The sequence below is a fragment of the Homo sapiens genome, chromosome 10 (assembly GCF_000001405.40).
Source record: "Homo sapiens chromosome 10, GRCh38.p14 Primary Assembly".
In the NCBI taxonomy this organism is placed as follows: domain Eukaryota; kingdom Metazoa; phylum Chordata; class Mammalia; order Primates; family Hominidae; genus Homo; species Homo sapiens.
The window spans coordinates 72,181,335-72,205,929 of record NC_000010.11 but is presented as its reverse complement, the minus strand read 5'-3'; the positions used below and the strand labels follow the sequence as shown (position 1 = coordinate 72,205,929).

The 24,595-nt window shown below is 42.5% G+C and overlaps 1 protein-coding gene and 1 pseudogene across 38 annotated transcripts in view, besides 1 other annotated feature; one reads left to right on the top strand and one right to left on the bottom strand.

Annotated features, from left to right (window-relative positions):
- Positions 1-24,595, top strand: part of ASCC1 (activating signal cointegrator 1 complex subunit 1) — a 121,103-nt gene that overhangs the window by 11,205 nt on the left and 85,303 nt on the right. For 37 of the 38 annotated variants that reach the window (NR_045564.1, XM_047425261.1, NM_001369099.1 and 34 more), the window contains 2 exons: positions 2,406-2,503; positions 8,941-9,119. Coding sequence is in view for 37 of the 38 variants with exons in the window: in XM_047425261.1 (XP_047281217.1) it covers positions 2,406-2,503; positions 8,941-9,119 (277 nt within the window). In the remaining variant the exon portion in view is untranslated. Of the gene's footprint in view, positions 1-1,424; positions 1,509-2,405; positions 2,504-8,940; positions 9,120-24,595 lie in introns of all 38 variants that reach the window. The other variant, NM_001198799.3, reaches the window with a different exon arrangement.
- On the bottom strand, positions 15,217-16,032 carry RPL15P14 (ribosomal protein L15 pseudogene 14; annotated as a pseudogene).
- Positions 15,393-15,563: a silencer, noted in NCBI's record as "fragment chr10:73950125-73950295 (GRCh37/hg19 assembly coordinates)". NCBI's record gives its function as "represses an EF-1alpha promoter that drives an FKBP-Casp9 reporter gene in an ReSE screen in HepG2 liver carcinoma cells {active_cell/tissue: HepG2}" and the evidence as "EXISTENCE:reporter gene assay evidence [ECO:0000049][PMID:32094911]".

The following is a 24,595-nucleotide window of genomic DNA, read 5'->3' as shown; positions in this document are numbered from 1 at the left end:
GTTTCACCACGTTGGCCAGGCTGGTCTTGAACTCCTGACCTCAGGTGATCCACCCACCTTGGCCTCCCTGGGATTACAGGCGTGAGACACCACCCCCAGCCAAATTTAATTTAATTTTATTTAGTTATTTTTTTGAGACGGAGTCTCCCTCTGTCGCCCAGGCTGGAATGCAGTGGTGCGATCTCTGCTTACTGCAACCCCTGTCTCCCAGGTTCAAGCAATTCTCCTGCTCAGCCTTCCAAGTAGCTGGGATTACAGGCGCCCGCCACCACACCCTGCTATTTTTTTTTTTTTTTTTTGAGATGGAGTTTCACTCTTGTCACCCAGGCTGGAGTGCAGTGGTGTGATCTTGGCTCACTGCAACCTCTGCCTCCCGAGTTCAAGCAATCTCCTGCCTCAGCCTCCCGAGTAGTTGGGATTACAGGTACCTGTCACCACGCCTGGCTAATTTTTGTATTTTTAGTGGAGATGGGGTTTTACCATGTTGGCCAGGCTGGCCTCGATCTCCTCACCTCAGGTGATCCCCCCCACCTCGGCCTCGCAAAGTGCTGGGATTACAGGTGTGAGCCACCGCACCCGGCATTGAGCCACCTTGCCTGGCTTTGCTAATTTTTGTATTTTTGGTAGAGACAGGGTTTCGCCATGTTGGCCAGGCTGGTCTTGAACTCCTGACCTCAAGTGATTTGCCCGCCTCTGCCTCCCAAATTATGGGATTACAGGCATGAGCCACTGCACCTGGCCTATTTTTATTTTTTTAGAGACAGGATCTCACTTTGTCACCCAGGCCAGAGTGCCACTGTGTGATCATAGCTCACCATAGCCTTGAACTCCTGGGCTTAAGGGATCCTTCTGCGTCAGCCTCTCACTTCATTTTGATAAGTGAAGAAGTAGGCTTACAGTGGTTATATGAATTCCAAGGTTTGTTTGATTCTAAAGCCTTTTAAACCTCAACCACTTTGCTTTCTAAGGTGCTGAAGCCTAGATTATTAATAGCACTTTGAACCACTGCTTTTTGTGATAGGCTTGTTCACTAGCCACATAGTAACAAACTGGAGCCTGACAGAAAGCACTCCTAATTGGTAAGGTGGGAAAACAAAGACCTCACAGAGTTTGGTGCCCTACAATCTCTATCCCAACACACAGGAAAACCACTTGGAAATTACAGACTTCCAATCTTCCTCTAAACATCTTATTTTTAAAAACTGGCTTACTATAATAGATCTTAAGGGAAGTAATTGGGCTTTCTTATCCCACGCAAAAACTAACGAATAGTTTTAGACATAGTCATCCGTAGAATTGGGTACTGTAATTGAAGTCATAGAGGTTAAAATAACGTTGATGACAAGGAGTTCTTAACTTGATAGCCCTGTGATGGCCTCTTAGTGCTTTATAGACTCTGAAACTTCTCTCTTGGGATTCGGTAGTCTCATTCACTTGAACACATCAAACGACTGTGGGTTCCAGAAGATAACTTTGGATTGTCAGAATATTTATACTTGGAAGTCCAGGCAAGTAATGTAAATGAGTCAATAAGTGATTTAAGTGGGAGTGATGGGGATTGTGAGCTCATGTCCCGTCTTCATGGGGTAGTCGAGAGTTGGCTGTAGCTCGCTGTTGCCATGAGTCCTCAGATATTCTAATTTTTCTATTGAAAAAAATTGAAAAAAAAATTTATTTTTTGAGGCAGAGTCTCGTTCTTGTCGCCCAGGCTGGAGTATAGTGGTGCGATCTCAGCTTACTGCAACCTCCACCTCCCGGGTTCAAGTGATTCTCCTGCCTTAGCCTCCCAAGTAGCTGGGATTACAGGCACCCTGCTGTCACACCCAGTTAATTTTTGTATTTTTGTAGAGATGGGGTTTTGCCATGTTGGCCAGGCTGGTCTCGAACTCTTGACCTCAGGCAATCTGCCCACCTCAGCCTCCTGGAGTGCTGGGATTACAGGCGTGAGCCACTGCCGCCAGCCTAAAATATTTTTTTAGAGACGGGGTCTTACTCTGTTGCCCAGGCTGGTCTCAAACTCCTGGTCTCAAGCAGTTCTCCCACCTCAGTCTTTTGAGTAGCAGGGATTACAGGTGTGAGCCACTGCACCTGCTGGCCAGCTTTTCTTTCACTTTATTGCAGACCCAGATTTTAAATCTCATTTTGAGAAGCAAACGGGTGTTGGGCATGGTTTTTCTATCTCTGCATTGAATTGGCTATAGGGCCAAAAACTCATCTTTGCCAATGACTTTACTGCAGCATGTTCTAAAGCTAGATGACTTGTAATTTCTTCCGCAAATATTGAGCTTTTACTGAACTACTTTTCTGTAAGGGAGTATCTCTTGTCACAAAGGATTTAAACATAATGAGGTTCTTTATTTTGGTACATTTTGACTTAATCTTCTTTTAATTACTTTATGTTACAGGCATATAGTTGGAAAGAGAGGGGACACTAGGAAGAAAATAGAAATGGAGACCAAAACTTCTATTAGCATTCCTAAACCTGGACAAGACGGGGAAATTGGTGAGACTCAGTAGATATAAGTTACATTTGAAGTCACTTTTGCATGTTTATGGAATAATGTAACCAACTGCAGTGTTTAGTAACTATGTTTTCTGTGGGGTTCTAGCTATGGGCTTTTTCTTTTCTTTTTTTTTTTTTTTGAGACGGAGTTTTGCCCTTGTTACCCAGGCTAGAGTGCAGTGGTGTGATCTCGGCTCACTGCAACCTCCGCCTCCCGGAATCAAGCGATTCTCCTGCCTCAACCTCCCTAGTAGCTGGGATTACAGGCATGTGCCACCACGCCTGGCTAATTTTGTATTTTTAGTGGAGGCGGGGTTTCTCCATGTTGGTCAGGCTGGTCTCGAACTCCTGACCTCAGGTGATCCTCCCCTCTCGGCCTCCCAAAGTGTTGGGATTATAGACGTGAGCCACCGTGCCCGGCCAGCTATGGGCGTCTTTATGGTTTATCAGTACCAGTCTCCCAAATGAGGAAAGATGGAATTATATAACCTTATCTTGATTGAGTACCTGGGCCTTAATTTTATACTTTACCATACATTGATGGAATAAAGCTTCCAGATTTCACTGTGTATTAGGAGATTTCTTTTCATGCTTTGGTAACTTGAAATGGATTTGTGAATTGTTTCCAATTAGAATTAGAGAAAATCAATGAGATCAGTGAATATAAAATAAAGTTCAGCCTTTTCCATTGTGCTCTCAATTTTTTACCCTTGATTTTGTAGACTAGGAAGGAAATTATAAGAGTAATGATTAAAATAATATAACTTGACTCAAATAACTGTTCTGATAAGGAAAAATAGTTTAGCAGTATAAATCAAGTTAGAAAGTGTCTGTACCAAGCCTCAGTGTAAACCAAGGGCATAGGCTTTTGTTGTATGTACAATGGCTTTGAGTGAGGGGCATTGTTAGGACAAAACTGTAAACTCATTCTGGAAGGATGGAATTTTTTTTTTTTTTTTGAGACAGAGTCTTGCTGTGTTACCCAGGCTGGAGTGCTGAGGTGCAATCTCAGCTCACTGCAATCTCCGCTACCCAGGTTCAAGCGATTCTCCTGCCTCAGCCTCCCGAGTAGCTGGGACTACAGGTGTGTGCCACCAAACCCAGCTAATTTTTGTATTTTTTGGTAGAGACAGGGTTTCGCCATGTTGGCCAGGCTGGTCTCAAACTTCTGGCCTCAAGTGATCCACCCACCTTGGCCTTCTAAAGTGCTGGGATTACAGGCGTGAGCACCATGTCTGGCCGATGGAACTTTTTTAAAGTCAAAGAGTGCAGCAACCTCCAATAATTCATTAACCCATTTTCTTTTTCTTTTTTCATTTAAAAATTTTTATTTATTTTTTATCCAGACAGGATTTCACCATGTTGCCCAGGCTGATCTTGAATTTTTGGTTTGAAGTGATCTGCCTGCCTCAGCCTTCCAAGGTGCTGGAATTACAGGCATGAGACACCATGCCCGGCCTTTTAGTCCTTTATTTTATTTTATTTTATTTTTGGAGACAGAGTCTCTGTTGCCCAGGCTGGAGTGTAGTGGCATGATCACAGCTCAGTGTAGACTCTACCTCCTGGACTCAATCAATCCTCTCATCTCAGCCTTGCATAGCTGGGTCTACAGGAACACGCCACCACACCTGGCTAATTTATTTGTATTTTTTGTAGAGACAAGGTTTTGCCACATTGCTCAGGCTGGTCTTGAACTCCTGAGCTCAAGCGATCTGCCTGCCTTGGCCTCCCAAAGTGTTGGGGTTACAGGCAAGAGCATGTCGCCCAGGCTAGAGTTGATTGGCTCCATCATAGCTCACTGTAGCCTTGAACTCCTGGGCTCAAGCAATACTTTTCCCTCGGCCTTCCAAGTAGCTGGGACTACAGGCGCTTAGCACCATGCCCAGCTAATTTTTAATACTTTTTGTAGAGATGGGGTCTTGCTATGTTGCCCAGGCTGGCCTTGAACTCCTGGGCTTGAGCGATCCTCCTTGGCCTCCCAAAGTGCTGGGATTATAGACAAGAGTCACTGCGTCTAGCCCCATTTTCCATAAATGTTCATAGATTGTATTGTTTTTGCATAAAAAATTATAAGTACTCTTTTTCATTTTATGTTATGTGAGAATAATCACCTTGACTGGGGACAGTGGCATATACCTGTACTTCCAGCACTGTGGGAGATTGAGGTGGGAGGATCACTTGAGACCAGGAGCTCCAGGCTGCAGTGAACTGTGTTCATGCCACCACACTCCAGCCTGGGTGACAGAGTGAGACCCTGTCATACACACACACACAAAAGAATAATCACCTTGACAGCAGATAAGTAGCAATTGACTTTTTGGACAACAGTGCTGTCCCAAAGAGCTTTCTGTGTTGATGAGAATGTTCTATATCCATGCAGTGTAGCACAGGAGCCGCACGTGTCAGGTACTGGTCATGCGTATGACTTTGAGTACTTGAGATATTGCTAGTATGAAAGGAACTGAATTTTTTTTTCTGAATTTTTACTTTTACTGAATTCTGATTAATTTAACTAACTAGCTGCATGTGGGCTCCCATATTGGCCAGTGCAGTGACACAGTTTTCTCTAGGTAATGTCAACAAACTCTAGCATTAGAACTTTTAACAGCATTTGGAAGGACTTTTATTAAAGTAAATATTCAGTTTATTAGAATTATAAGTGCAAAATTTTATTTTCCTTGAGTTTTAACATTCAAGTTACAAATACCAAGGTCATTTTATAATTGCATTAAAAGTTACTTCATCTATTTTTTTTTTTTTTTGAGATGGAGTTTCGCTCTTGTTGCCCAGGCTGGAGTGCATTGGCATGATCTTGGCTTAGTGTAATCTTGGCTCAATGCAACCTCCACCTCCTGGTTTCAAGTGATTCTCCTGCCTCAGCCTACCAAGTAGTTGGGATTACAGACATGTGCCATCATGCCTGGCTACTTTTGTACTTTTAGTAGAGATGGGGTTTCTCCATGTTGATCAGGCTGGTCTCCAACTCCCGACCTCAGGTGCAGCCAGCCTCAGCCTCCCAAAGTGCTGGTATTACAGGTATGAGCCACTGCGCCCAGCCCTAATTTTTTCTGATTATAAAATTAATACATGCTTTCAAAAAAGAGAAAGCTTGCAGAAATTATATATAAGGTATACATGGAAGTCTCTTATAATACGAACCCCAAACATAATTGCTATTAACACTTGTTATATGTTCCCCATTTTTTCTATTTGTGTAGTAAGTTATATAATATTTTTTATTGCAGTAAAATTATAACGTGGTGTAAATGTGGAGACCCTAGCCATTTTAATATACTAGATTCATTCCAGAACTTATCCAGAAAAGGGTAGACAGGCTATAAAGACTCCATTTTAACTTAGCACAAATGTTGCAGTGTGAAAAACTAGTGTGTCAGGCTGGGCTTGGTGGCTCATGCCTGTAATCCCAACACTTTGGGAGGCCTAGGTGGGAGGATCACTTGAGCCCAGGTGTTCAAGGTCAGCCCGGGCAACATGGCAAAACCCCATCTCTACAAAAAAATACAAAAATTGGCTGGGTGTGGTGGCACATGCTTGTAGTCTCAGCTACTTGGGAGGCTGAGGTGGGAGGATCTTTTTATCTGGGAAAGTCGAGGCTACAGTGAGCCAATCGCACCAGTGCACTCCCTCCTGGGTGACAGAGCGAGACTGTCTCAAAACAAACAAAAAAACAGAAAACAAAGAAGAGAAAATAAAAACTAGGCAGGCGTGTTAGCTCATGCCGGGGTGGGCGGATCATGAGGTCAGGAGATTGAGACCATCCTGGCTAACACGGTGAAATCCCGTCTCTGCTAAAAATACAAAAAATTAGCCGGCCAGGCCCAGTGGCTCACGCCTGTAATCCCAGCACTTTGGGAGGCCGAGGAGGGCACATCACAAAGTCAGGAGTTTGAGACCAGTCTGACCAACATGGTGAAACCCTGTCTCTGCTGAAAATACAAAAATTAGCAGGGCATGGTGGTGCACACCTGTAATCCCAGCTACTCAGGAGGCTGAGGCAGGAGAGTTGCTTGAACCCGGGAGGCGGAGGTTGCAGTGAGCCGAGATCGTGCCACTGCACTCCAGCCTGGGAAACAGAGTGAGACTCTGTCTCAAAAAAAAAAAAAAAAAAAAAAAAATTAGCTGGGTGTGATGGCATACACCCGTATTCCCAGCTACTTGGGAGGCTGAGGCAGGAGAATTGTTTGAACCTGGGAGATGGAGGTTGCAGTGAGCCGAGATCGTGCCACTGCACTCCAGCCTGGGCGACAGAGCAAGACTCCATCTCAAAAAATAAAAATAAACATACAAAATTAGCTGGGTGTGGTGGCTCACACCTGTAATCCTAGCATTTTGGGAGGCCAAGTTGGGTGGATCACAAGGTCAAGATTTTGAGACCAGCCTGGCCAACATGATGAAACCCTGTCTCTCCTAAGAATACAAAAATTAGCCAGGTGTGGTGGCACGTGCCTGTAATCCCAGCTACTCAGGAGGCTGAGGCAGGAGAATCGCTTGAACCTGGGAGGCGGAGGTTGCAGTGAGCCGAGATTGTACCACTGCACTGCAGCCTGGGTGACAGAGCAAGACTCTCTTGAAAATAAAATAAATAAACTGGCTTATTGATCTTGTAGAGAAGTAAAGTATATAGAAAAACCAAATGTATTGGTTAGAGTAAATTGAATTGTGATGTGAAGTCAAGTCTGCAGTTGCATTCGTGTGATATTTGCTCTGATTTACCCATTTCTTTTGTGTCTCCTAAATTAGAGAAATCAGAGAAGGAAATGATCTGGTAGCTTTTAATCCTCTAGACAAGGATCTGGTCTTGTCTGTTTTGAAATCTCAGGCAATGGAACATCAGAAGCTTCTCCACCTCCAACCACTGTAGAGACAGAGTTTCAGTAAATTGCCTAGGCTGTCTGGAACTCCTGGCCTCAGGCAATCCTCCTGCCTTGGCCTTTGCCCCAGAGTGCTGGGATTACAGGCATGAGCATGCCTTGCCTTCTTTCTTTCTTTTCTTTCCTTCCTTCCCTTCCCTTCCCTTCCCTTCCCTTCCCTCCCCTCCCCCTCCCCTCCCCTCCCCTCCCCTCCCCTCTCCTCCCCTCCCCCTCCCCTCCCCTCCCCTCCCCTCCCTCCTCACCCCTTCCATCTGCTCCCTTCCCTCCCCTCCCCTCCTCTCCCTCCTCACCCCTTCCATCTGCTCCCTTCCCTCCCCTCCCCTCCCTCCTCACCCCTTCCATCTGCTCCCTTCCCTCCCCTCCCCTCCCTCCTCACCCGTTCCGTCCCCTCCCCCTTCCCCTCCCCTCTCCCTCCCCCCTCCCCTCCCCTCTCCCTCCCCCCTCCCCTTCCCTTCCTCGTTCCCCCTCCCCCCTCCCCTCCCCTTCCCTGCTCCCCCTTCCCTTCCCTTCCCTTCCCTTTTTCTTTCTCGGTTTTTACTTATTTTGGGTATCCCTAAGGGTAGAATTTCTGGGTTATATGGTAAGTCTATGTTCAACTTTATTTATTTATTTATTTATTTATTTATTTTGAGACAGGGTCTAGCTCTGTTGCCCATGCTGGAGTGCAGTGGCGTGATCTCAGTTCACTGGAACTTCCAGCTTGCTAGTTCAAGCCATTGTTGTGCCTCAGCTTCCCAAGTAGCTGGGATTACAGACATGTGACACCACACCCAGCTAATTTTTGTATTTTTAGTAGAGATGGGGTTTTGCCATATTGGCCAGGCTGGTCTTGAACTCCTGACCTCAAGTGATCTGCCCACCTCAGCCTCCCAAAGTGTTGGGATTACAGGCGTGAGCCACTGCACCCAGCTATGTTCAACTTTTTAAGGAATTACCAAACTTTTTCATAGTGACTACACCATTTTACATTCCTACTAGCAAGGGTTTGCTTTGTAGTACTTGAATTCATTTTTCTACTTTATAAGCTGTCTTAAGGATATTCTTTTTTTTTTTTTTTTTTTTTTTTTGAGATAGAGTCTTGCTCTATTGCCCAGGCTGGAGTGCAGTAGCACGATCTTGGCTCACTGCAAGCTCCACCTCCTGGGTTCCCTCCATCCGTGCCTTAGCCTTCCGAGTAGCTGGGACTACAGGCGCCCGCCACCAGGCTGGCTAATTTTTTGTATTTTTAGTAGAGGTGGGGTTTCACTGTGTTAGCCAGGATGGTCTCGATCTCCTGACCTCGTGATCCACCTGTCTCGGCCTCCCAAAGTGCTGGGATTACAGGAATGAGCCACCGTGCCCGGCCAAGGATATTCTATTTTTAAGCCTCATTCTGCTTACATTGAATTAATTAGCAGTTTTCTTATATTTGTTATTGTCCCCTGTTTAGATTCATATACGCATTCAGAACTGCTTTAGCTCCTCAGAGGTGACAGTATCAAGAGGTCCTGTTTTATAAGCATTTGGGGGTCCTTGAGCAGTTTACCCTTTCTTCTTTGTTTACAGTAATCACTGGCCAGCATCGAAATGGTGTAATTTCAGCCCGAACACGGATTGATGTTCTTTTGGACACTTTTCGAAGAAAGCAGCCCTTCACTCACTTCCTTGCCTTTTTCCTCAATGAAGTTGAGGTTCAGGAAGGATTCCTGAGATTCCAGGAGGAAGTACTGGCGAAGTGCTCCATGGTAAGTGCAAACAAAGCAAGAAGGTTAAAAAAAAAGTTAAATATAAAAAGAATACAAAAATGGTTCATAAATCAAACAGTAGGGAGTTATAAACTTCTTCCCCCACCAAAAAAGATAACTATTTCTTTTGGCTTCTTATATTGAACTGAAAAAAAAAGTGTATGGACATATCAGCTCATAAGTTTCTATATATTACAGAAATGTCTTTAAAAAATTTTAACACATATCGGGCCAGGCGCAGTGGCTCATGCCTGTAATCCCAGCACATTGGGAGGCCGAGGTAGGCAGATCACTTGAGGTCAGGCGTTCAAGACCAGCCTGGGCAACATGGTGAAACCCCGTCTCTACTAAAAATACAAAAAAAATTAGCTGGGTGAGGTGGCATGTGCCTGTAATCCCAGTTACTTGGGAGGCTGAGGCAGGAGAATTGCTTGAACTTGGGAGATGGGGGTTGCAGTGAGCCAAGATCGTGCCACTGCAGTCCAGCCTGGGAGACAGAGTGAGATGCTGTCTCAAAAAAAAAAAAAAAAAGATTTAAGACACAAATGGCTCATCCTAATAGACACACTATTCTGCATCTTTTGGGTGGTAATGTTAATGAGATGCCATTATCTGTAGATCTTCTGACTTTGGGCGGTCATGGCTCATTTGGGATTAGTAACTAAAAGACAAATTTGCATGTAGAATTGCCATACTTAGATAACAGTGAAATGCTTGTGACCAGGATAATAGCAGATAATCCAGATTAGAAAACAAGTTTTAAACTCATTTTGGATATCAGTTAGTTGATTTTAAAAAATGTATATTGATTCAAAAAAGTATGAAAGCAATATGTTTATTATAGAAAATTTAGAAAATACAGAAAAGATTAATAAAAAATCATCCATAATTCCACTACTGAGAGATGCTGTTACATGATTGCTATATATGTGTGTGTATCAATGTGTCTGTACACTCACATACTTTTTTTTTTTTTGAGACAGCGTTTCACTCTTGTTGCCCAGGCTGGAGTGCAATGGCTCGATCTTGGCTCACTGCAACCTCTGCATCCCGGGTTCAAGCAATTCTCCTATCTCAGCCTCCTGAGTAGCTAGGATTACAGGCATGCGCCACCATACCCGGCTAATTTTGTATTTTCAGTAGAGACAGGGTTTCTCCATGTTGGTCAGGCTGGTCAGTCTCGAACTCCTGACTTCATTGCATGCCGGCCTGGGGAAGAAGAGTAAAAATCCATCTCAAAAAAAAAATAAATAAAATAAAATAAAATTTAGCTTGTATATAATCTTATATTCTAGTTTTTTTGAAAGCGTAATCATTCTACCATGAACATTGTTTTGTCATTGAAGAAAGACCTAAATCTTGGCTGGCATGTTGGCTCATGCCTCTAATCACAACACTTTGTGGAGGGCTGAGGCAGGTAGATTGCTTGAGCTTGGGAGTTTGAGACCAACTTGGGTAACATAGCAGCAAAACCCTGTCTCTACAAAAAATACAAAAATTATCCAGGCATGATGGTGTGTGCTTGTAGTCACAGTCACTTGGGAGCTGAGGTGGGAGAATGGCTTGAGCCTAGGAGGTGGAGGTGTCAGTGAACTGAGATTGTATTATTGCACTCCAGCCTGGGCAATGGAGCCAGACCCTGTCTCAAAAAAAAAAAAAAAAAAAAAAAAACACAGCAAAAAACACACAAAACCTAAAAAACCCACAAAACCTACTTCGTGAGAACAAGTAGGAAATTATAGCAGTGATGACTAAAATAACATAATCTGGGCCGGGCATGGTGGCTCACACCTGTAATACCAGCACTTTGGGAGGCTGAGGTGGGTTGATCACCTGAGGTCAGGAGTTTGAGACCAGCCTGACCAACATGGAGAAACCCCGTCTCTACTAAAAATACAAAATTATCCGGGCCTGGTGGCGCATATCTGTAATCCTAGCTACTTGAGAGGCTGAGGCAGGAGAATCGCTTGAACCTGGGAGGCTGAGGTTGCGGTGAGCCGAGATCGCACCTTTGCCCTCCAGCCTGGGCAACAAGAGCGAAACTTGTCTCAAAAACAAAAAACAAACAAAAACAAAACAAAACAAAAATCTGATTTCATTAACTGTTCAGGTGATTTGGTTTCGTAATGGCTACCTACTGTTCTATTATATGGATATGTAATTATTTAACTTTTTTAATTTCTATTTTGTTATGAGTGCTGAATACATTTTTCTGCACTAGTGGGTTATTTTACTTATACTGTTTATTTTACATATACTGTTTTTTCACTAGAAGTGAAAAAACAGTATATGTGGATGTATGAATTTTTCAACATGTATAGACATCCAGATTACCTTCAGGAAATCTTATAGCACTTTATGCTCCAAACTAGAGTTTTCTTTAGGTTTCCTTTCCCACTTTTGCCAGTACTGGATGTTATCATTCTTTTAAGGTTTTTGGTTTTTTTTTTTTTGTATTTCAGTTGACAAAAAATACTGTGTCATTGCTTTACTGTTTATTTATTCAATTATTTGTGAGATAAAGCATTTTCCTGTATTTTGTTTATTCATGTCTTGGCCCATTTTTCTTTGGGAGTGTTCTTTTTAAAAATTTATTTGTAGGAGCATCATATATATTAAGAACATCAGGCCAGGTGCAGGGGCTCATGCCCGTAATCCCAGCACTTTGGGAGGCTGAGGCGGGCAGATCACGAGGTCAGGAGATGAAGACCATCCTGGCTAACATGGTGAAACCCCGTCTCTAGATTGAGACCATCCTGGCTAACATGGTGAAACCCCGTCTCTACTAAAAATACAAAAAAAAAAAAAATTAGCCGGGTGTGGTGGCGGGCACCTGTAGCCCCAGTTACTCGTGAGGCTGAGGCAGGAGAGTGACGTGAATCCGGGAGGTGGAGCTTGCGGTGAGCAGAGATCGCACCACTGCGCTCCAACCTGGGCGACAGTGATGTCTCAAAAAAAAAAAAAAAAATCAGTATTATTTCATAATTTACATTTAGCTTTTTAGTTAATTTAGAATATGTTTTGATATACAGTAAGAGGTAAGACTTTAACTTTTTAAACCCCTATTTAGCCAATTATCCTCTGAAGAATTAAATTTTTTCAATTTTATCTTCAACATTATTATAATTAAAATGGACTTTTTTGGGGTATACATGTCTATGAATTCTAAAACATGTTTAGATTTCTGTAACTACCACAACAATTAGGATACAGAATAGTTCCACCCCAAAAACTCCCTCATGCTCTCCCTTTATAGTCACCTCTTGCTCACCCACAACCCCTGGCAATCACTGAGCTCTTCTTCACCGTAGTTTTATCATGTGTGTGTGTGGTGTGTGTGTGTGTGTGTGTGTGTGTGTGTGTGTTTTGTTTATTATTTGTAGTTTTGTCTTTTTGAGAATGTCATATAGATGGAATCATACAGTAGGTAACTGGCTTCTTTCACTCAACATAGTGCTTTTGAGATTCATCCAAGTTGTGTGTGTCTCAGGAGTTTGTTCCTTACTATTTCTGGGTAATATTCTACTTTATGGATATGCTACAATTTGTTTCTCCATTCACCCATTGGAGGACACTTGGGTTTTTGCAGTTTTTGGCAACTATGATTAGAACTGCTGTAAACATTTGTGTATGGGTTTTTGTGCGAACCTAAGTTTTCATTTCTTTACAGTAAAATACCCAGGAATGGGGTTGCTGTGATGTATGGTAGGTGTATATTTAACTTTATAAAACACTGCCAAACTGTTTTTCAGAATGCATGTACTGTTTTGCATTCCCAACAGCAATTTATGAGAATTCCAGTTGTTCTCCATCCTCACTAGCATTTGATATTATCACTATTTGTTATTTTTGCTATTCTAATAGCTGTGTAGTGACATCTTATTGTGGTTTTGATTTACATTTCTTTAATGGCTAATGATGTTGAACATTTTTTCATGTGCTTTTTTTGCCATCCTTATATTATCTTTGGTAAGGTGTCTGTTCATGTCTTTTGCCTGTTTTACAATTGGGTTGTTTGGCGGGGGGCAGTGCCCCATGCCTGTGATCCCAGCACTTTGGGAGATGGAGGTGGGTGGATCACTTGAGGCCAGGAGTTTGAGACGAGCCTTGCCAACAGGGTGAAATCCGATCTCTACTAAAAATACAAAAATTAGCCAGGCACGGTGGTGTACATCTGTAATCCCAGCTACTCGGGAGGCTGAGGCACGAGAATCACTGGATCCCAGGAGATGGAGGTTGCAGTGAGCCAAGATGGTGCCACTGCACTCCAGCATGGGTGACAAAGTGAGACTGTCTCAACAAACAACAACAATTGGGTTGTTCTCTTTTCTTCTTTCTTTCTTTTTTTTTTTTTTTGAGACGGAGTCTCGCCCTGTCACTCAGGCTGGAGTTCTATGGCTCGATCTTGGCTCACTGCAACCTTCGCCTCCTGGCTTCAAGCGATTCTTCTGGCACAGCTTCCCAAGTAGCTGGGATTACAGGCATGCATCACCATGCCCGGCTAATTTTTTGTATCTTTAGTGGAGATGGGGTTTCACCATATTGGCCAGGCCGGTCTTGAACTCCTGACCTCGTGATCCACCTGCCTCAGCCTCCCAAAGTGCTGGGATTACAGGCGTGAGCCACTGTGCCCTGCCAGATTGTTTCCTTATCATTGAGTTTTTAGGGTTCTTTATGTATATTGTTGATACAAGTCCTTTTGAGGATATGTGATTTGCAGATATTTTCTCCTAATCTGTAGCTTGTCTTTTCATTCTCTTATTCGTGTCTTTTGTAGAGCAAAAGTTTTAAATTTTGATAAAGTCTAGTTTATTTTTTTTTTATGGGTTGTACTCTTAATGTTATGTCTAAAAAATCTTTTCCTGGCCGGCGTGGTGGTTCATGCCTGTGATCCTAGCACTTTGGGAGGCCGAGGTGGGTGGATCACTTGAGGTCAGGAGTTCGAGACCAGCCTGGCCAGCGTGGTGAAGCCCCGTCTCTACTAAAAATACAAAAAATTAGCTGGGCATGGTGGCGGGCACCTGTAATCCCAGCTACTAGGGAGGCTGAGGCAGGAGAATTGCTTGAACCTGGGAGGCGGAGGTTGCAGTGAGCCGAGATCACGCCATTGTACTGTAGCCTGGGCAACCAGTGAAATTCCATCTCAAAAAAAAAGAAAATTTTTTTTCCTAACCCTCAAATATGAAGGTTTTCTTTTTAGAATGTTTATGGTTTTGGTTTTTTATATTTAGATCTATGATTCAGTAATTTTTTTGTACGAGATGCAATATTTAGGTCATGGTTCATTTTTTTACATATGTATGTCCATGCTATACTTTTTTTTTCTTTTAAAGAATTTATTTTAAACCTATTATACCACATAGTATGTTTTATACACTGATATATAACTCCCTAATAAGATAAAGCAAAGACAAAAATGTTTATCTTATTAGAAACAAGATACAACAGCCAGGCGCGGTGGCTCATGCCTGTAATCCCAGCACTTTGGGAGGCCGAGGTGGGTGGATCACGAGGTCAGGGGTTTGAGACCAGCCTGACCAACATGGTGAAACCTCGTCTCTACTAAAAATACAAAAAAAAAAAAAATTAGCTGGGCATGGTGGCGGGCGCCTGTAATCCCAGCTACTCGGGAGGCTGAGGCAGGAGAATCGCTTGAACCTGGGAGGCGGAGGTAGCAGTGAGCCGAGATCGCGCCACTGCACTCCAGCCTGGGCGACAGAGCGAGACTCTGTCTCAAAAAAAAAGAAACAAGATACACCACCGCTTACTGTCTTCAAACATTATTGCACTTTAACTTCCTTTTTTTTTTTTTTTTGAGACGGCGTCTCGCTCTGTCGCCAAGGCTGGAGTGCAATGGCGCGATCTTGGCTCACGGCAACCTCCGCCTCCCGGGTTCAAGCGATTCTCCTGCCTCAGCCTATAGAGTAGCTGGGACTACAGGCACCTGCCACCACGCCCAGCGAATTTTTATATTTTTAATAGAGATGGGGTTTCACCATGTTGGCCAGGATGGTCTCGATCTCTTGACCTCGTGATCTGTCTTCCTCGGCTTCCCAAAGTGCTGGGATTACAGGCGTGAGCCACCGTGCCCGGCCTTCACTTTAACTGTCTTAATTTGACAAAGCATTCATTAAATAATTTGCAGACTAGCTTTAACAGACAAATAACACCTGTAAGCACACATGACTGTCTTAAATTGTTTATTAGGTATGAATTTTACAAACTTTACTTATATTAGCGATAATGGTGGAGCTGGAGAGTATTGCGCCTTCTCCAAGCTGCCCTGCGAGAACCACCAATAGTGTGGTGGAACTTATGGCCCTTTCCAAGGCCACGGCTCTTTCGGCCTGCAGATGTCAGCCCACGCATCTCCCTGTGGTTGTGGACTGGTTTGGTGATCCACTGGGTGTCAGGATTTCTTCTGATAGCTTTATGGACTGGATCAATGAGGATAACCTCAAAAAATTTGTATGTGGAATCTTCACCAATCCAATATTTAAGTCATAGATCTAAATATAAATTCAGGACTCTCAGAACTCCACAGTGACATCCAGCTCATTCCTCTGCAACAGATTGAAGGCTTCAGGCAAACTTTAGCTAGTTAACACCATGATGGACAGGCTTGCCGTAAGTTGCACCCTTAGGAACTGGGTGTTTTCGGCCACCACAGCGAACATGAATCCTATATATAATGTAACCTTGCTTGGTCTTGCAGCCCAGTTGCTGCGCTTTATCAGGCTGGGTGGGGTGGGGAGCACTGTGGAGGGCAGAGAGCTGGCGGTACTGCCAGCAGTGGACCCTCAGAAGAAAGCACATGACATCAGACTGTTTCTTTCTCCGTAGCTCCTGGATATACTTGTGTGCACTTGTCTTGGCTTACCTGATGGCTGCCGCCAGACAGAAAGGCTGTACTTTCTTAATCTTATAGTGAAGACAGAAATAAAAGCATTTGGAATAAAATAGAACAATGGTTCATGTCTTTGGTTCTTTTTTTTTTTTTTTTTTTTTGAGATGGAGTTTCGCTCTTGTTGCCCAGGCAGGAATGCAGTGGTGCGATCTCGGCTCACTGCAACCTCCGCCTCCCAGATTCAAGCGATTCTCCTGCCTCAACCTCTCAAGTAGCTGGGATTACAGGCATGCGCCACCATGCCCAGCTAATTTTGTAGTTTTAATAGAGATGGGGTTTCTCCATATTGGTCAGGCTGGTCTCAAACTCCTGACCTCAGGTGATCCACCTGTCTTGGCCTCCCAAAGTGCTAGGATTACAGGTGTGAGCCACCCCACCCGAACAGTATCTTTGGTTCTTCAGACAGATGGACTTAGTTCTGATTTTGAGTTCTTCAGTCTATGTGGACTTGGACAAATGAACTTCTCCAAATATTTTTTTATTTTTATTTTTTTTTGAGATGGAGTCTTGCTCTGTTGCCCAGGCTAGAGTGCAGTGGCTCGATCTCTGCTTACTGCAAGCTCTGCCTCCCAGGTTTGCGCCATTCTCCTGCCTCAGCCTCCCGAGTAGCTGGGACCACAGGCGCCCGCCACCCCGCCCGGCTAATTTTTTTTTTTTTTGTATTTTTAGTAGAGATGGGGTTTCACCGTGTTAGCCAGAATGGTCTCGATCTCCTGACTTCATGATCCGCCCGCCTCGGCCTCCCAAAGGGCTGGTATTACAGCCGTGAGCCACTGCGCCTGGCCTAACTTCTCCAAATCTTTATAGCCTACTTGGGAGGGTTGTAGGAAGGATTAAATGAGAGACACGCTGGATGAGGTAGCTTAGGCCTTCTAATCTCAGCACTTTGGGAGGCCGAGGCTGGAGGATTGCTTGAGCCCAGGAGTTCAAGACTGCCCTGGGCAATTTAGGGAGACCCTGTCTCTACAGCAGATAAAAAATTAGCTCGCAGTGGTGGCACATATCTGTAGTTTTAACTACTCGGGAGGCTGAGGTGGGAGGATGCTTAAGCCCAGGAGGTCAAGCCTGTAGTGAGCCATGATTGTGCACTACTAGCCTGGGTGACAGAGTGAGACCCTGTCTCAAAATAAATATATGAGATGACATAAAGAACTCAGCATGGTACTTGATACATAATAAGCATTTAATAAATGGTAGTTGCTACTCCTGCTATACTTTACTGCGAGTTAAAGTTGTTAGTATTATTTGGAGTGTGAAGAGTAGATAAAGGGTAGCTTTGAAAGTTGTGGCAAAGTGAAAATGTTTTGGGTGAAAACTTTTACAAGATCTTTTCTTCTTTCTTTCCTTCCTTACTTCCCTTCCCTTTCCCTTTCTCCTTTTCCTTTTCTTTTCCTTTTTTCGATCAGGTTCATATTGCTAAAGGTAGTCTTAGGTGTTAGAATACAGTGAGAGATGGATATGCAGTGTTAGAAGTATTAGAAACCAGGTCGGGCGTGGTGGCTCATGCCTGTAATCCCAGCACTTTGGGAGGCCGAGGTGGGTGGATCACTTGAGGTCAGGAGTTCGAGACCAGCCTGGCCAAAATAGTGAAACCCCATCTCTACTAAAAATACAAAAATTAGCTGGGCGTGGTGGTGTGCACCTGTAAACCCAACTACTTGGGAGGCTGAGGCAGGAGAATCGCTTGAACCCAGAAGGTAGAGGCTGCAGTGAGCCACAATCATGCCACTGCACTCCAGCCTGACAGAGCGAGACTGTCTCAAAAAAAAAAAAAAAAAAAAAGAAGAAGTATTAGAAACCAAGTACTTTTGTGGTGTATGGGGTGAGAATTAGTAAAATTGCTTATTTATGAAGAGGGCTATGTAGGTGAATAGATTCAGATTGGGCACATACAAGAGATGGCCTGAGCTTAGTGTAGAATTGTAAAACCAATTTTTTTTTTCTTTTTTTTGAGACAGACTCTCACTCTGTCACCCAGGCTGAAGTGCAGTGGTTTGATCTCGGCTCACTGCAGGCTCTGCCTCCTGGGTTCAAGCGATTCTCCTGCCTTAGCCTCTCGAGTAGCTGGGACTACAGATGCCCACCACCTCTAACTGTAAAAAGTCAGTTTTAATAAGTTTAATCAGCCACACCTGGTTGATTTTTGTATTTGTAAAACCAGTTTTTTTTTTTTTTTTTTTTTTTGAGACGGATTCTCGCTCTGTCACCCAGGCTGGAGTGCAGTGGCGTGATCTCGGCTCACTGCAAGCTCCGTCTCCCGGGTTCTCGCCATTCTCCTGTCTCAGCTTCCCGAGTAGCTGGGACTACAGGCGCTCGCCACTGTGCCCGGCTAATTTTTTGTATTTTTAGTAGAGACAGGGTTTCACCGTGTTAGCCAGGATGGTCTCTATCTCCTGACCTCGTGATCCGCCTGGCCCAGCCTCCCAAAGTGCTGGGATTACAGGCGTGAGCCACCGCGCCCGGCCTAAGAGAAGGGGTTTCACTGTGTTAGCCGTCATGGTCTCGATCTCCTGACCTTGTGATCCACCCGCCTCGGCCTCCCAAAGTGCTGGGATTACAGGCGTGAGCCACTGTGCCCGGCCTTGTAAAACTAGTTTTTAAGTGACTAACTTTGCATTTATGTACTTAAATAAGGCCATATCTATGAGGAAAATACATATATGTGGATGTTAATATCACTGAACCATCAGAAAATCATTTTTCTCCTTAACATTTCATAACAAGATGACTTCGTTCTTAGTGGGAATGGAGGGTGGGGTAGGAGATCAGGAACGCTGAGGTTTCAGTATAGCCCAGTACTGTTTTGGGGAGTAGGGGCTAAGTTTTGAAATTATTTTAACTGGTAAATGCAAACTAGTTGAAGCTCAGTCATTGTATATATTCTTTGGAAGGATACAAATACCAGGTATAAGACAAGCAGATGTGTAATAAGTTAGTCTTTTTTTTTTTTTTTTCTGGGCATGTGCATGTGCATCCGCTTTCTTCCTTTTTTTTTTTTTTGGCTGCTGACATGGCTGACAGGGAACAAACACTGGAATTACTGCTTTGATTTCGCCAGAATGAGCTTGTTCGCTGTGAACGTCATGCTGGCCTTAATCAGTCCAAAGGACTTCCTTCCTGCTTTCAGGGAGACTGCGTATTAACATAGTCTCTTTTCTGTCTTCAAATTCGGCCCTGATAACAGCTGGAAATAAGCACAGCATTAAAGAGGAAATCAGTAAGGGACCATTATCTAGATTATATGGAAGAGATTTTTAGTAAGTTTCATTCTGATGTTAGAATGACACGAAGATGGCTATGAAAGCCTGTAGGCACTTTCCAGTAGTACTCTGCATTTATTACCTCAATTTATGTGAGTTCTCTTCTACAAGATTTGAAGAGCAAATACCTGTTCACTGAGATAGCAGTTGTTTTCTGAGAGACTGTGGGATTTTCAGTTCTTTTGGCTCCTCTGAAACTCATTTGTCATCTCTGAGAGTTTCCTCATCTCTAAAATAGGGATGATCTCAACATTCCCTTGCTTAATAGCATAAGAAAAAGATAGCATCTCTTGGTACAAAATCTCCTGGCTCATAAATTTTTTGAATACACATATATATTTGTAATATATGTTTATTCTCCAGGTGCAGTGGTGGGCACCCCAGCTACTCAGGAGGCTGAGTCAGGGAGGATAGCTTAAGCCCAGGAGTTCAGCCTGGGCAATGTAGTAAGACATTGTCTCTACAAAAAAAAAACAAAAACAGTTATATTCTTTTATATTTTATATTATATTACTTTTTTAATTAATACGTATGATATTTCAGGTCCATACATTAGAAGCTAACTCCCATTTTTAATTGCTGTGAAGTATTCTGTGAATGTACCTTAGTTTATTTAATCAATCCTCTATTGATGGAACATTAGAGGAAATTATTTTTATTAAATAACACTGCAGTGAGCATCTGTACATGCATCTTTCTGTTTGACTCCTGGTTTCTTTGGGATAAATTCTAAGAGGTAGAATAACATGGGTTAAGGGAATGCAAACTTTAAATTTTTTCATAGTTTTTTCCATTCTGTTTTAAAAGTCAGTTTTAATGAGTTATACTTTATATACAACATTATAATGCACTTGTTTTAAGAATATGGCTTGATGAGTTTTGATGAAGGTATACACCAGTGTAACAACCATCACAAACAAGATATTGAATATTTATGTCACCCTCAAATATTTCTTTCCTCTGCAGTTGATCCCCACTCCATCCCCTCACCTCCTACCACTGATTCCAGGCAACCACTAATCTATTTTGTGTTGCTATTAGGTTTCCCTTTTCTAGAATTTTAAATGAATGGAATTATATGATATATAGTCTTTTGTGTGACTTTTTTTGGTTCAATATTAATATTTTTGGGAGTCAGTCATGTGTGTTATAGGAGTTTGCTGCTTTTTATTGTTGAGTGGTATTTCTTTGCATGAATGTACCACTTTATCCATTCAACCCTGATAGATGTTTGGATTGTTTATAGCTGGAGATTTCTTTATCTATTCAACTCTGATAGATGTTTGGATGGTTTCTAGTCTTTGGCTATTATAAATTTGTGCAGAAATCTTTGTGTTCAGTATATGTTTTTATACCTCTTGGGTAAATACTTAATAGTGTAATTGTTGGATTATGTGCAAGTGTATGTTTAGTTTAATAGGAAACTGTCAGATCTTTTCCCAAGGTGGTTGTGCCCTTTTACACTGCTACAAATGATGTGTGAGAGTTTAGGTTGCTCCACATTCTTACCAACACTTAGTGGTGTCTATCTTATTTTAATTTAACCCTCTCTAGTAGGCATCTCATCATGGTAGCTCATTGTGGTTTTTATATACATTTCCCTCATGGCTGATACTGCGAAGCATCTTTTCATGTGCTCATTGGCCATTTGTGTATCTGCCTTTGTGAAGTACCTGTTCAAATATTTTGTCTATTTTTGTTGTTGTTGATGGTATTTTAGCTTTTCTTTTTATGGTGAAATATACATAACATAAAATTTACCATTTTAACCTTTTTTTAAAAAGTGCGTGATATTGCTTATTTAAAATTTTTTTTGTTTCTTACTATTGTGTTATAAATTTTTTTTTTTTTTTTGAGATAGAGTCTTGCTGTGTCACCCAGGCTGAAGTGCCGTGATCTTGGCTCACTGCAACCTCTGTATCCATACTGATTTTGTATCTACTTGTTCTTTTAGTTGCGGAGAGAGGAGTGTTGAAATCTCCACCTGTAACTGTGGATTCATCTATTTCTCTTTTCAGTTCTACCAGTTTTTTCCACACCTTCTTGATAAGATCCTTTTATAGTTATGAAATATCTTTCTCTATTCCTGATAATGTTCCTTGTTCTGGTCTACTTTTTTGATGTTAATATAACCATTCTAACCTTCTTTTGATTAGTGTTTACACTATATATCTATTTCTATCCTTTTACTTTTAACATATTTGTATCTTTATATTCAAAACAGGTTTCTTTTTAGACAGCATATAGTTAGGTATTGTTTCTTATTTTTAAATTGCAGTCTGACATCTCTACCTTTTAACTGGAGTAGATAGAACATTTACGTTTAATGTAATTCTAGCTATGGGTGAGTTTAAATCTACCATCTTATTTTTTGTTTCTTTCTGTCTCTTCTTTATTTTTTTTTTGGTCTTCTTTGTTCTTTTTTGTTTGTTTCTGTTCATCTCTTCTTTGTACCGCTTTTTTTTTTGGATTGAGGGTTTTATTTATTTATTTATTTTTTGAGATGGAGTCTGGCTCTGTTACCCAGGCTGGAGTGCAGTGGTGCAGTCTCGGCTCACTGCAACCTCCGCCTCCCCGGTTCAAGCGATTCTCCTGTCTCAGCCTCCCGAGTAGCTGGTACTGCAGGTGCATGCCACCACACTTGGCTAATTTTTATATTTTTAGTAGAGATGGGGTTTCACCATGTTGGCCAGGCTGGTCTCCAACTCCTGACCTCAGGCGATCTGCCCTCCTCAGCCTCCCAAAGTGCTGGGATTACAGGCATGAGCCACTGTGCCCAGCCTAACATTTCTTATAGTTCAGATCTGTGGGAAATAATTTCTCTCAGCTTTTATTTGTTTGAAAAATTTTTTAATTCACCTTCTTTTTTGAAAGATTTTTACTGATTATAGAATTCTAAGTAGTTTATTCTTCTAGGACTGTGAACATATAATTCTACTGTCTTCTGGCATTTATAGTTTCTTTATTTTATTTTTTATTGAAAAACATTTTTTTTGAGACATGGTCTCACTCAGATACTCAGGCTGAAGTGCAGTGGTGCAATCTCAGCTTACTGCAACCTCCACCTCTGGGGCTCAAGCAATCTTCCTGCCTCAGCCTCCCGAGTAGCTGGTACTATAAGTCTGTACCATCATGCCCAGCTAATTTTTGTAGAGATGGGCCTTTGCTGTGTTGCCCAGGCTGGTCTCAAACTTCTCTGGGCTCAAGCAATCCAACTGCTTCAGCCTCCCAAAGTGCTGGGATGGCAGGTGTGAACCACTATACCTGGCCAGGTATAGTTTCTAATAAGAAATTTGTTGTTGCCTGGGCTCAGTGGCTCACACCTGTCATCCCAGTACTTTGGGAGGCTGAGGTGGGTGGATCACCTGAGGTCGGGAGTTCCAGACAAGGCTGGCCAACATGGGGAAACCCCATCTCTACAAAAATACAAAAATTAGCCCTGTATGGTGGCGGGTGCCCGTAATCCCAGCTACTCAGGAGGCGGAGGCAGGGAGGATCGCTTGAACTTAGGAGGTGGAGGTTGCAGTGAGCTGAGATTGCACCACTGCACTCCAGCCTGGGCAACAGAGTGAGACTCTGTCTCAAAAAAAAAAAAAAAAGAAATTTTTTGTCATTCTTATCTGGCAGCCTTTTTTTTTTATTGGAAATAATTTCAATGTAGAAAAATTTGTATAAAGATAGTATAAGGAATATACCATAAGAAAGTATAAGCTTTAATGGCATATGATCTGATACTGTCCTTTATATTTTCCCCCCTCAGTACAAGATCCAGGGTAAGGTCAGGCATTGCATTTAGTTTTTTGTCTCTCTCTCTCTTTTTTTTTTTTTCTTTTAGAGACAGGGTGTTGCTATGTTGACCAGGTTGGTCTCAAGCTCCTGGCCTCAAGTGATCCTCTGGCCTCAGCCTCCCAAAATGTTGGAATTATAGATGTGAGCCACCATACCCAGCTTAAGTTTTTATGTCTCTTCAACCTCTTTTAGCAGGAACATTTTCATACCCTTTCTGAATTTTATATTATTGACTTAATTGAAAAATAATACAGTCCTCTTTAGACTTTTTTCCTTATATATATTTATCCCATATAGTATCTAGCCTTTTTTTGTTGTTGTTAAACAACCCTGCCGTGGCACCTGCCACTGCTTTCAATGGCCTCCATCCTGATATCCAGACTATGCCACCATTCCCATTAGCCCTCCAAGTCAGGTGAGACAGCAACCAGTCCCTCAGGCAGCCCCACACAAGCCAGAACATTGAAGCTAGTTCTATTTTTGCTCCATCCTGAGGGAAGAGCTGGAAATTGGGTAGCTTCTTCCCAGTGGTGGGACAAGGTGGGACAGATTGAGTGGGGCAAGGATGAATGAAAATGGCACAAAGTTTTCTACCACTTTGAAGTGTGACCTTTTCATGGTTAGGTGTATGTTTGGTTCCTGCAACTTCTTAACTGGTTTTTAGGGTTCTTCCTAAGCTACTTTGGTCTGTATGTTGTTATTTGATATGTCCATGGGGGAATGAGGGCCTAGAACTTCCTAGTCTCCTTTCTTGCTGTTTCACTCCAGTTTTGTATAATTTTCAGTCATTATTTCCTCGAATGTCTTTTCTTTCCTTTTTTTCTCATCTCCTTCTGGAACCCTGATTACATGTGTATCAGAATACTGGAGGCCGGGTGCGGTGGCTCACACCTGTAATCCCAGCACTTTGGGAGGCTGAGGTGAGTGGATCGCTTGAGGTCAGGAGTTTGAGACCACCCTGGCCAACATGGTGAAACCCCATCTCTACTAAAAATACAAAAATTAGCTGGGTGTGGTGGCACACGTTTATAATCCCAGGTACTCGGGAGGCTGAGGCACAAGAATCGCTTGAACCCGGGAGGTGAAGGTTGCAATGAGCTGAGATGGTGCCACTGCACTCCAGCCTGGGCAACAGAGTGAGACCATCTCAGAAAAAAAAAATCACTTGATATTGGTGCACAAGTTACTGAGATTCTGTCCAGACGTTTTTTTTTCTCTGCTTCAGTTTTCCAAAAATAGTTAAATATTCCTTAAGTCTCATGTATGGTTCATGAAAAAAAAAGAAAAAAATTAAATATTCCTTTATTGTTCAAAATTTTTGTTTTTCCAATTTTATAATGTTAAAATCTGTTTGTTTTTTAAATTTCAGCTTCTATTTTGTTTTTATTTCTGAAAAGCAACCATGTATGAAAATAATTCAGTTTCTTTTTATCTTAGTTCATCAGACCAGACTTCCTAAAACTGAATGTAACTTGTCTGTTAGTCCAAGCTCAGTAAGTCTTCAGCCTCTTCAGTCCCAT